The sequence below is a fragment of the Homo sapiens genome, chromosome X (genome assembly GCF_000001405.40).
Source record: "Homo sapiens chromosome X, GRCh38.p14 Primary Assembly".
NCBI classification, from domain to species: Eukaryota; Metazoa; Chordata; class Mammalia; order Primates; family Hominidae; genus Homo; species Homo sapiens.
The window spans coordinates 129,992,699-130,006,595 of NC_000023.11; the positions used below are offsets into that span (position 1 = coordinate 129,992,699).

Consider the following 13,897-nt stretch of genomic DNA (forward strand, 5'->3'; position numbering starts at 1 on the left):
AGAGACCGGGTTATGAGACTGGCTAATTTTTGTATTTTTTGTAGAGACGGGGTTTCACCATGTTGCCAAGGCTGGTCTGGAACTCCTGGGCTTAAGTGATCTGTCTGCCTCGGCCTCTCAGTGTTGGGATTACAGGTGTGAGCCAGTGCGCCCAGCTAGGAATTGTCTTTAGGTGAAAAATTGCGTATCATGAATATAGTATACTGAAATGGAGACACCAGAGGGCCACTGTCACAGTCTATGGCAGGCAGGACCCAGAAGCATCTCAAAAGGGATTCAGAATGTCTCATATTACAATGATTCAAGTTTAGAGTGTGAAAAACACACTAAATATTTATATGGTCCTGCTGAAGACCAAGATTGAGGGAAGCCAATTTGTGTTTTTGTTCTAGCGGAAATTAGAAGTACTCAAAAAATGACCCTAGATATTTAGGGTGACATTTTGAGGTTGCTTTGCCTTTTGAAAGGACTGATTAATTTCACAATGATCACTTAAGTTTTGCGTGACATCTAGAAGTTGTATAAAATCTTGTAGCTAGAGCCGAGGTTTATTATAAAGCTATGATGAGGTGTTTTTGTTAAATGGAGTAAAGTAATTTTCTTACAGCAGGAAATGGAAGTGAGTACTGTTTGAATAATAAGAAAAAAGTATCATAGCAATGGGTAGAAAGCAAAAAGAATCTGGCGGTATGAAAATGTAAGTGAGGCCAGGCACGCTGGCTCACGCCTATAATCTCAGCACTTTGGGAGGCAAAGGCAGGAGGACTGCTTGAGGCCAGGAGTTTGAGACCAGCCTAGGCAACATAGGGAGACCCTGACTGTACTGAAAAAAATTTTAAATTAGCCAGGTATGGTGGTGCACACCTGTGGTCCCAGCTGCTTGAGAGGCTGAGGTAGGAGGATTGCTTGAGCCTGGGAGGTCAAGGTTGCAGTGAGCTATGATCATGCGATTGTACTCCAGCCTGGGTTACAGAGCAAGACCCGTCTCAAAGAAAGAAATAAAATGTAAGCAAAAGATTAAAGCTTTTGCATTTGACTACTTCATTCTTGGAATAGATTACGTATGGTCCTTTTTTTTATTTTTTAATTTTTATTTTATTTATTTATTTTTTTGAGATAGAGTCTTGCTTTTGTAGCTCAGGTTGGTGTGCAATGGCACAATCTCAGCTCTGACCCCCCAGGTCCAAGCGATTCTGCTGCCTCAGCCTCCCGAGTAGCTGGGATTACAGATGCCCCCCCACCATGCCCAGCTAATTTTTTGTGTTTTTAGTGGAGACAGGGTTTCACCATGTTGGCCAGGCTGGTCTTGAACTCCTGACCTCAGGTGATCGCCTGCCTTGGCTTCCCAAAGTGCTGGGATTACAGGCGTGAGCCACCATGTCCGGCCAGTCTATGGTCCTTTTCTAAGTGCTTTCATGTTATTCCAAATTTTTAGTAGGGACTAGTAGTTTATTCCCATTTTGCAGGTGACATGGTAAATGGACATAGAGAGATAGTCTGAGATGGCTGAGAAGTGGGGACTGGGAGTGTTCTCCAAGTTTTCCCACCGCAGTGTAGGCTATGGGTGCTAGAGTATATCACTTTTCAAGGCATTACTTGATTAGATGGTTCTGTTTAATATTGCTGCTGTTTGAGTAGATTGTTCTGAATGGATTTTGGATGTTCCTAAACATCAGATCGACCCTGAAAGGATGGGTTCCAGCACTAATGAGGAGAGTGAAAAGGACGTAGTATTGGTCTGGATGCTAACGCTCACAGAGGAACTCCAGGGAGATTGCAAGCCCTGGCCGCTCGGCTGAGATGACTGTCCAGCCTCCTGAGGCGACTACTTTGGGGTAACTACATTCATTTGAATGATAAACGCTCATGTGTTTAACAGCAGTTAACATTCCTTTGTATCCAGTCTCATAAATGTTTATAGGTAAGGTTTTAGACATGGAAGTACCCAAAGAGTCTATGAAGGGGTCCATGCTAGACCTATATGCCGGCAACTACCTAGCCTTCCCACTAAATACCAGAATTAATGTATCTGGGCAAAAGATACAATATGCCTTATAAGACTGATCCCTTGGGGTAGATATCAGTGGAAATATTTGGATAGGAAAAAAAAAATCCAGGGGAAGTAGAAAGTGTTAGAATAGATTTTTAGTCAGGCAGAAGTTTGGGATGAACAGCAGAAAGGGCTGTTCTTTCTCCTTTAAATTGCCTGGCAGATTATTTCTAGTTGATTTTGTGTGTGCAGTAGTAGAGGAACCAACTTGGCATGAAGAGAAGCAAAGTAAAGTGTTTGGGGGCATGTCTATGGGACTTCTTTTTTTTTTTTCCAAGACAGAGTCTCGCTCTGTTGCTCAGGCTAGACTGCAGTGGCATGATCTTGGCTCACTGCAACTTCTGCCTCCCAGGTTCAAGCGATTCTCCTGCCTCGGCCTCCTGAGTAGCTGGGATTACAGGTGCCCACCACTAGGCCTGACTAATTTTTGTATTTTTAGTAGAGATGGGGTTTCACCATGTGGACCAGGATGGTCTCGAACTCCTGACCTCAAGTTATCCACCTACCTTGGCCTCCCAAAGTGCTGGGATTACAGGCATGAGCCACCACGTCTGGCCTCTCTATGGGACTCTTGAGTTTCAGGGAATATTTGGTTAATGGTAGGGAAAGATGAGGGAATATAGATATTGGGGGTAAAGATTGAGGAGAATTTTCGAATACCCTTATATGTATTAGATCATTAAATAAGTTTATTTTTATTTTTATTTTTTGACACGGAGTCTAGCTCTGTCACCCAGGCTGGAGTGTAGTGGCCTCATCTTGGCTCACTGCAACCTTTGCCTCCCAGGTTCAAGTGATTCCCCTGCCTCAGCCTCCCGAGTAGCTGGGATTACAGGCGCACACCACCATGCCCAGCTAATTTTGTATTTTTAGTAGAGATGGGGTTTCGGCATGTTGGCCAGGCTGGTCTTGAACTCCAGACCTCTAGTGATCCACCTGCCTCTGCCTCTCAAAATGCTGGGATTACAGGCCTGAGCCACTACACCCGGCCAGAACGGTTTAAATTGGGGTAACTTCCTCATTGGGGGCAGGGGTTGTGGTATGTAATGAAGTAGGGAAAACAGGAATGTTAGTCTCCTAACACATTCTGTTGAATACACATGGAAGAAGGCAGAGTAATCAGGAGGGCAAGCTCTGTAGTAGGAGTTCCACATCTAAAGCCGGGTAAAGTTGTCCTTGCTGGGTGTGTGTACATTTTCCTATGGAAAACAATGAGCAGATTTGCCTTCACTCTAAAAGACTTCTGGGCAGAAGTCATGGCCTTTTCCCTTTAGCCCTGAGATCTCAGTGTCAGTGGTCTCTTAGATCTCCTCAGGGGTGTCTTAGATGCTGTTTTTTCCCAAGTGGAATGATGAGGTGGCCTCTCCTTTTGCTGCTGTAAAGTTTGCCTCTGTCTTATGGGAGCTTTACCAAGAGCTCTGGGTCTCTATTGGAGGAGTAGGTCCCAAAGTTGGTTTTCCTTACTTATTAGTCATCACTGACCCAGCCCTCCTCCTTAAACTGTCTGCTGGCCACGCCTATCCTCTAGAGGACAGATTCAGGGCCAGGCTTCAAGATGAATATTTTCCGGCTCTTTCATTTTTTAAAGTCATAATTGCTTCCAGGTCACCAGGCAGTATGAACCAAAAGGAGCCTGGGGGAGCAGGACTACATTTCGTTTAACTGAGAGCTTCTTAAGCTTGGGTTTCTAGTTTACTGTCTTGATGGTAGAGTCCAAGCATGAATAAATGGGTAGGTTTCATGCTATGTGTAGAAGACCGAGTTGTGTTCCATAAGTTGAGTGTTCTGCACTTAAGGGGTCTTCAGCCACAAAGGGAACTACATGATCCTGAAGTACTTGTCAGCTGCATGAACATCCTGATCATTTTCTTTTATTTATTTATTTTTTGAGACAGGATCTCTCTTTGTCACCCAGGCTAGAGTACGGTGGCGTGATCTTAGCTCACTGTGGGCTTGACATCCTGGGCTCGAAGGATCCCTTCTGCCACAGCCTCCTGAGTAGCTGGGACCACAGGTGTGCACCATCACACCCAGCTATTTTTTTATTTTTTATAGAGACGAGGTCTCACTATGTTGCCCAGGCTGGTCTCAAACTCCTGGGCTCAAGCAGTCCTCCTGCCTCAGCCTCCTAAAGTGCTGGGGTTATGGACATGAGCCCATGCCTGGCCTGGTCCTTTTTAAGGTTAAAAACCTCGTAAACAGTGCCTACCTCAGTCAAAAACATTTGTCAGATAGATGCTTTCTCTGTTACCTCCTTTAATGTCCTTCTCTTCCTCATATGCATGATGACAACCATGCTTTTGCTTGTAATTGTTGTGAAATCTGCATGTTTTGGCATCTTCATTTCAAAACGAAACAAAAAAATCCTATCCCACCTGTAAAATCTCCTTTGAGATTTTGGTGCTGCCTATCCTCTATTACTAACTCCCCCAGCCCCGACATAGGCTATAATTTGATGTTATTCTTCCCCTTTTGAGAACACATTCTCTCTAAACTTTTCTAAAATGTCTGTCTTCAGTGCTTCCCCACAGTGTTTCAGTTTGGCCCATGATGGTGAAATATTTCAGGTTCCCCTATTTCATTTTTTTTCCTTTTGGTTATTGCATGCGATGGGCTTTTCTTTTATGCCTATCACACCTGCCCTTGTCTTCTAGTGTGTTCTATTTGGATTGTTTTAAAGATCTCTGCTTCATTATGGTTTCTCTTCCACTACCCGCTCGCCCTCAGCTTAGCTGCTATTTTTCACCATTTTAAAGTTATTGCGGCCAGGCACGGTGGCTCACTCCTGTAATCCCAGTACTTTTGGAAGCCAAGGTGGGCGGATCGGAAGGTCAGGAGTTCGAGACGAGCCTGGCCAACATGGTGAAACCCCGTCTCTACTAAAAATACAAAAATTAGCCGGGCATGGTGGCCCATGCCTGTAATCCCAGCTACTCAGGAGGCTGAGACAGGAGAATCGCTTGAACCCAGGAGGCGGAGGTTGCAGTGAGCCAACATCGCGCCATTGCACTCCAGCCTTGGTGACAGAGCGAGACTCCGACTCACCAAAAAAAAAAAAAAAAAAAAAAAGTTATTGCTCTCTCATTAGTTCCTTTTCTTTTTGGTTTCCCCTGTTCTGTAGTGTGGTGATTGTCTCTGGCTACCTACTCTTGGCTGCCCACCTGTTGGATTCATTTCCTGGGATCTTGGGTAGGCCTTTTACTTCTCTGTGCATGTGCCTCCTAAATTGAAGTTTTACATATATATATATATATATATGTATTTTTTTTTCCCAGCCACACTTATGGCTTTGGATTGGCAGAGCACGTGCTCTCCTTTGTCCTCACCATGAGTTGGATATATCTTTTGAGTTTTTTCCCCCAAAGTAGGGATAGCTCACAGTGGTTCCTCTGCCTTCCAGGCAGTGACCAGGGTTGATTCTTGGGCCATGCAGCTGTTCATTTCTTTAACAATTACATGGTTGTGACATCTGGGAAAATCCTTTGAGGTATTTCATATCCTTGTGCCTGTGCTTCCTGGGTCATTTGGGATTACCAGGTTTCTTCCAAGTTCCTTTTTGGAACTTTGCTTTTGATGTGATGATTTCCATCAGAGAGAGGGAGAGTAGGCGGGGTGGTGGGGGGAGGTGGGAAGGGAGAACACATGAGTACCGGTGCTTCAAGCAAAAGCAAGCCAGCATACAAGTGTGTAAACCAGCAGCGCTTACGAAGTGTGGCATGCCTGCAAGGCTTTTCCTTTTTGCTCACCTCTCCTGGGATACTAATTTGATTGGCTATAATATAATAAAACAAACCCCTAGGCCTACTGAATCAGAATCTCCAGGACTGAGACCTAGGAATCTGTATTTTGAACAAGCTCCTCGGTGATTCTGGCTGGGGAAACATTGGTTGACATTGACCGTCCTGACTCCTCCCTTCTGTGAGCATTCACGCAGTCAGGAGTCTGTTCTCTAGGGCCGCTTTAGAGGTTCCCTTTGCTTTCCCTCTGGCTGGGGAAGACCAATCTTGCCTTCTTGTATAGACCATGTAGCTCAGTGTCAGTGTTCTCCTGCCTGTGTTTTATCCCTCCCCTCCTCTCCTCTCATCTGCAGAGGCTACTGTTAATTAGCAACAGTGGGCTTCAGATAGGAAGTGGCGCTCCTGGGACAAAATCATGATAGAAAATTGAGAGGCAAAGATTTAAGTGGATGCTCCATCTTGAGGATCTTGTGAAAATGGAGTTATCCAGAATCAGCGTTGCTCTCTACGTGGTCATAACATGTGTATTATATAGTAATTATTTTGATATTTTAACTCGGTTTTATTTTTTGTGGTTTTTTTTTTTTTTTTGCCTGAAAGCTCTTTATCTAGGTGATGTTGTATGATGTTCTGTTTCCAAATGCCAGTGTTCCCCCTCTGATTTCTGTCCCAGACCCTACATACTACTAATCCTAATCCTCTCTAAATAGAGCAATACGAAACCTGAGAGTGAAAAATCTAGTGTCACTAATACCTGCTGCCTATAGATATTTAGTAGCAACTAAAACTTGTACTTTGTGTTGAAACACATCTTTTTTTTTTTTTTTTTTTTTTTTTTTTTGAGATAGGGTCTCCCTCTGTTGCCCAGGCTGGAGTGCAGTGGCGCCATCTCGGCTCACTGCAACCTCTGCCTCCCGGGCTCAAGCAGTTCTCCCACCTCAGCTTCCCAAGTAGCAGGGACCACAGGTTTGCACAGCCACACACGGCTATTTTTTTGTATTTTGTAGACATGGGGCTTTGCCATGTTGCCCAGGCTGATCTTGAACTCCTGAGCTCAAGTGATCCACCTGCCTTGGCCTCCCAAGGTGCTGGGATTACAGGCGTGATTACAGTGGGATTACAGGCCACTGCTCTGGGCCTGAAATGCATTTTATGGCAAGAACAGCCCCTTCCATTGCTTGAGTCCTCTAATTCTTTTTCCCCCCCCCCAGACAGAGTCTTAACTGTCGCCTAGGCTGGAGTGCAGTGGTGCGATCTTGGCTCACTGCAACCTCTGCCTCCCGGGTTCAAGCAATTTTCCTGCATCAGCCTCCGAGTAGCTGAGATTACAGGTGCCTGCCACCACGCTCGGCTATTTTTTGTATTTTTAGTAGAGATGGGGTTTCACCATGTTGGCCAGGCTGGTCTCGAACTCCTGACCTCAGGTGATCCACCCGTCTCGGCCTCCCAAAGTGCTGGGATTACAGGTGTGAGCCACCATGCCTGGCCGAGTCCTCTAATGCTTAGTAGAGAGAAAAGATGAAATGAGTACCTGGGGTATCAGCCAATAGGCTGAGCTGGTTTTGTTTTTGTTTTTGTTTTAGACAGGATTTTGCTGTCGCCCAGGCTGGAATGCAGTGGCACAATCTCAGCTCACTGCAGCCTTGACCTCCTAGGCTCAGGTGATCCTCCCACCTCAGCCTCCCAAGTAGCTGGGAATACAGGCACCCGCCACCATGCCCGGCTAATTTTTTGTAGAGATGGGGTTTCGCCATGTTGCCCAGGCTGGTCTTGAACTCCTGGACTCAAGCAATCCTCCCAGCTCAACCTCCCAAAGTTCTGGGATTACAGGTGTGAGCCACTGTGCCCAACCAGTGTTGTTGGTTAAAATGGGGATATTCCAAGATATTCTGAGAAACAGTCAAAACTTGATTAACCAGGATGTTCAGGGAACGGGGTCCTTGTTAAAAATATTTCTAAAATTATGCTAACCCACATAACTGTCTTCATAATGTTAAAAGATAATTGTCAGAAAAAAGGTAAAAAATCATGACTCTCGTACAGATACAAAAATGAACACGTGTTAAAGATTTTATTTTACTCATTAATCAACAAGAGAACCAGACAGATGTTATAGCTGGTTCAAACAAAAAGTCAAAAAGCACAAATTTATATGGAGTAAAGGAAATAAATTGCAAATGGAGGCAAAAGTAGTTTTTCTACAGTGGGGAGGAAAGACAATCCAAACTCAATGGGACAAGACAGACTTCGCATATACATCAGTTACCTGCAATTACAGAGATGCAAAATAGCTTGAAGACAATAACCTGAGCTAAAATCAGATAGCCCAGAAGGTTATGCTATAGACAGTGCATAGTTTTTTCATTGGAGTACAAAGGTTTTTCTGTAGTAAGCAAACATGGTGGATGCTTTGTGTGTGTGTGTGTGTGTGTGTGTGTGTGTGTCGGGGGGTGGCTGTTGATTTTGCTTCTTGTGATTTCTCAGGGCCGTCACTTCAGTTCTTATCCAGAATTCAGTTCCATATAACATGCATTTACTGAGTAGTTACTATACGTAAGGTGTCGTGGAGGAAACAAAGACAAAAAAGGATGCTTTTTTTTTCTTTTTCTTTTTTTTGTTTTTGAGATGGAGTTCCACCCTTGTTGCCCAGGCTGGAGTGCAATGGTGCGATCTTGGCTCACCTCAACCTCCGCCTCCCAGGTTCAAGCAATTCTCCTGCCTCAGCCTCCCAAGTAGCTGGGATTATAGGCATGTGCCACCATGCCCGGCTAATTTGGTATTTTAATAGAGATGGGGTTTCCCCATGTTGGCTATGCTGATCTCAAACTCCTGACCTCAGGTGATCTGCCCACCTTGGCCTCCCGAAGTGCTGGGATTACAGGTGTGAGCCACCGTGGCTGGCCAAGGACGCTATTTCTTACCTTAGGTAGCTGATTGGTGGGGGAGACAAACATGCCTTGTCCCCAACTAACCAAGCTAGAGAGGAGAATAAGAACCAGTGCTGTGGAAGAGGTAGGGAGTAAATACTTGAGGACAACCAGAGAGGGAGGGGTTAACTGAACTCGGGCTGGGGCTAGGGGGATGACATGATGACATTTAAGCTGAGTCTTGAGAGAAGACAGGGAGAGGAAGAGGGGGAAGCAGGAGAGGCCATTTCAGGGTGAGGAGGCAGAAGAGTCCTGAAACTGGATGGTGTGTTTAGGAAGGGTTGGGAGCTGGGGGTGGTGAGAGTGGTGGGGAAATGGCAGGATGTGGTGGAAGAGGAGGCTGGAGAGGAGGTTTGAGGCCAGGTCATGAGGGCCCTGAAGGCAGTGCTGAGAATGGCTGGCTGGGTGCTAGAGGCCGGGGAAAGCTATTGAAAGCTTTTGAGGAGGGAAGGAGTGACATGATCGAACTGGCGCTTTAGAAGATGAATTGATTGTAGAATCAAGAAATTGAAGGCAGAGGGAGCAGTTAAGAGGTGATTATAATATTCTGGGTGAGAGCTGATGAGGGCCTGCACCAGGGTAGTGGCAAGAAGGGTAGAAGGCAAGGCTGGAGATGGCATTATTAAGGCCTGACTTCTGATCGAATATGGGCGGCAGGGGAGAGAAGGAGTTGAAGATGACAAGGCGGAAATTTCCAGGCTAGGGGACGGTAGTGCCGTTAAGTAAGCTAGGAAACACGCTGCTTACTGGGCATAGGGGGTGGGGAGCAGGTTTATGAGAACAGATAATGAGTATGGTTTGAGACACATTGAGTTTGAGGGGCTTGGTGGTCATCCAATTAACAGCAAGTTGCTGGCAGCTGGAAATTCTGGTCTGGGCCTAAGGAGAGAGGTCAAGGCTAGAGATACAGATTTGGGAGTCATCAGTGCATCAAGGGGCGAGCTGAAACTGTGGAAGCTCATGAGCTGAGAGAGAAGGTGGGGCAGGGCTGACAACTGGCACAGAGGGAGAGAGATGGGTGGGGGAAGCCAGAGAGAGCCAGCAAAAGGCAGACTAGGAGGAAAAGAGACAGAGGGAGACCGGGGAGGGACCGGAAGAGGGAGACTGAAGGCCAAAGAGTAGAGGGGAGGGGGAGGCACAGGGGAGGGAGAAGGGGAAGGAGGGGGAGAGGGAGGAGAGAATGAATGGGAGACTGAGGGAAATGGGGAAGGTGAGATAAGCAAGAAAAAGACAGGGAAGGAGAGAGGTGGGAACGGGGAGAAAGTTGGAGGAGAGGGGATTGTGTGTGTGTGTGAGAGAGAGGAGAAAGGCAAGAGGTGAACAGCTGGGAAAATAATAGGGGAGAGAAAGGTGAGGAGGAGGAAGAGTAAAGAGAGAGAGATGGGTAGGGGGATGAGAAAGAGGGAAGAAGCCTTGAAAGATAGGAAGGGGAGGAAATGGGAGAGGGTGGCAGAGGTGAAGAGAGACAGAGATCAAGGGAAAGGCCAGGCCCCAGTGAATGCCCAAGTCTTTGGGGTGGGCAGTGGAAGAGAAGGGCCCCGGAGAAGCCATCAGGCAGTGGATCAGGAAAGACAAGAGAAGGGAGAGAATAAAGAGGGCAACGTATCCCACTCTGCAGAGATGAGGAGGAGGATGAAGCCCAGGCAGGGTGGATGCCTCTCTCCTCTCTTCTCCTACCACCTCCACACTGGTCTCCTGGCTCTCCCTTGATCTTTGTGGGCAACCTCCTGCCTTAGGACTTTCTCATGCACTGTTCCCTCAGCCTGGAATGCTTTTCTCCCAAATATCCACGTGGCTACTCCTTTACCTCATTCCGATGGTTTAAATGTCTCCTTTACAGCAAGGCCTATCCTGTTCACCGTATTTCAGATAGTAGCCCTCCCCACCTAGACTGTGCCCTTGCCCCTTAGTCTGTGTTGTATTATCTCCTCCTCCTCCTCCTTCTTCTTCTTCTTCTTCTTCTTTTTTTTTTTTTTTGAGACAGAGTTTCACTCTTGTTGCCCAGGTTGGAGTGCAATGGCATGGTATCAGCTCGCCGCAACCTCTGCCTCCTGGGTTCAAGCAATTCTCCTGCCTTAGCCTCCTGAGTATCTGGGATTACAGGCATGTGCTACCACGGTGGCTAATTTTGTGTTTTTAGTAGAGACAGGGTTTCTCCATGTTGGTCAGGCTGGTCTTGGACTCCCGAACTCAGGTGATCCACCTGCCTCGGCCTCCCAAAGTGCTGGGATTACAGGCATGAGCCACTGCACCTGGCCTGTTGTACTATCTTCTAACATGCCGTGACATAGAACTATTTAACATGCTATGACATAGAAGTATTCAACATGTTTATTGTCCATGTCATCCCCCTGGGATGTAAGCTCCACACGGGCAGGCATTTTGTTCTGTTTCGTTAATTGCTGAATCCTCAGTACCTAGGATGGTGCTGGCTCATAGTAGGAATGCAATAAATTGTGATACTGTGTTGAAAGTGGACAATCTCTGAAAATTGAAAAATGGATACATGAAACAAATCCCTCGTACAACTATATCTTATTGTGATTTACTTTGGAAAGTGGAGAACAGCATTCAATTCTGATCACTGTAGGGTTCTGTTCAGTTGAACTTCAATGAATAAGGATTTTAGCTAATAAGCTAACTCAAGAGCTTAAGGGTCTCAAGGCAAGCTCATTGGATAAAGGTTTTTCTTGGTGCCTCATTTTTTCTAGAAGGTAAATTAACTGTGCCCTGCTTGTCAAAGCGAGAGAGGGACATTGGCTGGTGAAGAGAGTGGTGGAACATGGAGACAACAGACTGACAGGAAGGGACAAGGACAGAAATGTGTGGTTTTTTTTTTTTTTTTTTTTTGAGACAGAGTCTTGCTCTGTGGCCCAGGCTGGAGTGCGCTGGCATGATCTCAGCTCACTGCAACCTCTGCCTCTTGGGTTCAAGCGATTCTTGTGCCTCAACCTCCCGAGTAGCTGGGATTACAGGTGCACACCACCACCCCAGGCTAATTTTTTTATTTTTAGTAGAAACGGGGTTTCACCATGTTGTCCAGGCTGGTCTCGAGCTCCTGACCTCAGGTGATCCACCCGCCTCGGCCTCCCAAAATGTTGGGATTACAGGCGTGAGCCACCGCGCCCTGCCGAAACACGTAGTTCTGGATGGAACGTTGTTTTCTGTTTGTTTGCTTGTTGGTGGTCAGCGTGCAAGGAGTACTGCACCTGATTTGGAGGGAGCTTGAAACCAGGTTAGATACGTGTGTTATTTCCAACTCAAAGTCAATGGAGTATTTTTGAAGGACTTACGAAAAAAAGCATGTGCTTCCTCTGAAGAGTGTAAATTGGCTACGTCACTCAAATACTTCAGTACCCATGGATTAGAGAGTAGACGAGAAAAAGGTCACCAGTAGTGTTTTAGTGCACCATTCATATATGGGTATGACTCTCTAATTGTAGTTGGTTAGGCTAAATGTGTGTAGAAATATATACTGTCATCTCATTTGTCTGAAATAGATTGAATTTCCTCTACTCAAGCATATCTGTCTTTTAAGATAATTTAAAACTCACTCTAGGTGATTAACAATGTCCTCATCTCCATCCTGAAACCTATGGATTCCTAGAAAGCTGGTGCTCCCTCTTCCCGGTTTAGACCTTAATTTTCCATAGCAGGCTGGCTGCTTTAACATTCTGATGCTGTAATTACCTTTATTGAAACATTGCTGTGTAAAAGGTGATTGAAGCAGCTGTCCCTGTTACGAGTTTTGATTTTCTGGAATTCTTTTCCCCAGGGGGAGTGGCCACAGCAGGTCCTATCTGGTGGTGAGTGGCTGTCATGATCTCTACAGCACCGCTCTACAGCGGCGTGCACAACTGGACCAGTTCTGACCGGATTCGCATGTGTGGCATCAACGAGGAGAGGTGAGGAGGCCAGGAAGGTGGCCGCTGCTGGCCTCCAGTGAGCAGTACCTCGTCACCAGAGGGATAGCTGCATACAATAGGGCCTGGGGAGGGACCCTGGGGAGGAGAAGACTCTTAGTTGTTTCTAATTTTCCTGTGGTGGGATGGGGATGGGGCTGTGTGAGTGGCCTGATCTGCCATGCTATCTCTTTTCAGATGAAGGTGAGGAGGCCAAAAAAATGACCTTTTGCCAGCTAGCACTTGTCTACTCATTAACAACTGTCAGACTGTGGAGTAAGGGGAAGCTCAGGCAATGGCAATTTTTTTTTTGTTTTTTGAGACAGAGCCTCGCTTTGTCATGCAGGCTGGAGGGCAGTGGCACAATCTTGGCCCACTGCAACCTCCGCCTCCTGGGCTCAAGTGATTCTCCCACCTCAGCCCCACCAGTAGCTGGGACCACATGCAAGCAACACCACGCCCGGCTAATTTTTTTTTTTTTTTGTAGTTTTTTAGAGACGGGGGTTTCGCCATGTGGCCCGGGCTGGTCTTGAACCCCTGAGCTCAAGTGATCTGCCTGCCTCAGCCTCCCCAAATGCTGGGATTACAGGTGTGAGCCACTGCCCATGCCTGGCCAGCGATTGCAGTTTTTATTTGCTGCATCAAAGTTTGGTGCTCAAGGATATGTGTAAGGTATTTTCAGTCTTTGATCTAGGTCTGGAAGAAAGATGGTTTTATTGTTCAGATTTCTACTGGGAACTGGCAGTGGGCATTCTGGTGGTCAGCGCTTTCTCACCTCATGAGGCTAATTCTGATTTGAAGTGAGATCCTTATGAAGTATCAAAGGAAGTTGAGACCGCCTAGCATAGTCTTGAGAGTTGGTGACACCTGCCTCACGTGTGTATTTTCAGTTATCTGTTCCCCAGAATATTTGGTTGACCAAGATGTGCCATTGCCTGATCATGCCCCATACCCAAAGCACTCAAAATGGCCTTCAGAATTTATATTTGGCTTTCATAACCCTTGGTCAAAGAGCTGTGTGTGATGGCTGCAGTGCCTCTCTCATTTTCTTTTTTTTTTTTTTTGAGGTGGAGTCTCACTCTGTCGCCCAGGCTGGAGTGCAGTGGCGCGATCTCGGCTCACTGCAAGCTCTGCCTCCCGGGTTCACGCCATTCTCCTGCCTCAGCCTCCCGAGTAGCTGGGACTACAGGTGCCGCCACCAAGCCCGGCTAATTTTTTGTATTTTTAGTAGAGACGGGGTTTCACCATGTTAGCCAGGATGGTCTCAATCTCCTGACCTCG

The 13,897-nt window shown here is 46.4% G+C and overlaps 1 protein-coding gene across 19 annotated transcripts in view; it reads left to right on the top strand.

The window, feature by feature from the left end:
• The window catches only part of BCORL1 (BCL6 corepressor like 1), a 77,759-nt gene that overhangs the window by 12,386 nt on the left and 51,476 nt on the right, over positions 1 to 13,897 (top strand). For 15 of the 19 annotated variants that reach the window (XM_005262453.5, XM_006724777.4, XM_047442344.1 and 12 more), the window contains one exon: positions 12,490 to 12,619. In XM_005262453.5, the coding sequence (XP_005262510.2) occupies positions 12,534 to 12,619 (86 nt within the window). In that variant the 5' untranslated portion in view covers positions 12,490 to 12,533. Of the gene's footprint in view, positions 1 to 1,341; positions 1,836 to 5,171; positions 5,240 to 12,489; positions 12,620 to 13,897 lie in introns of those variants that run through there. The other 4 variants (XM_047442340.1, XM_047442339.1, XM_047442341.1 and 1 more) reach the window with 3 other exon arrangements.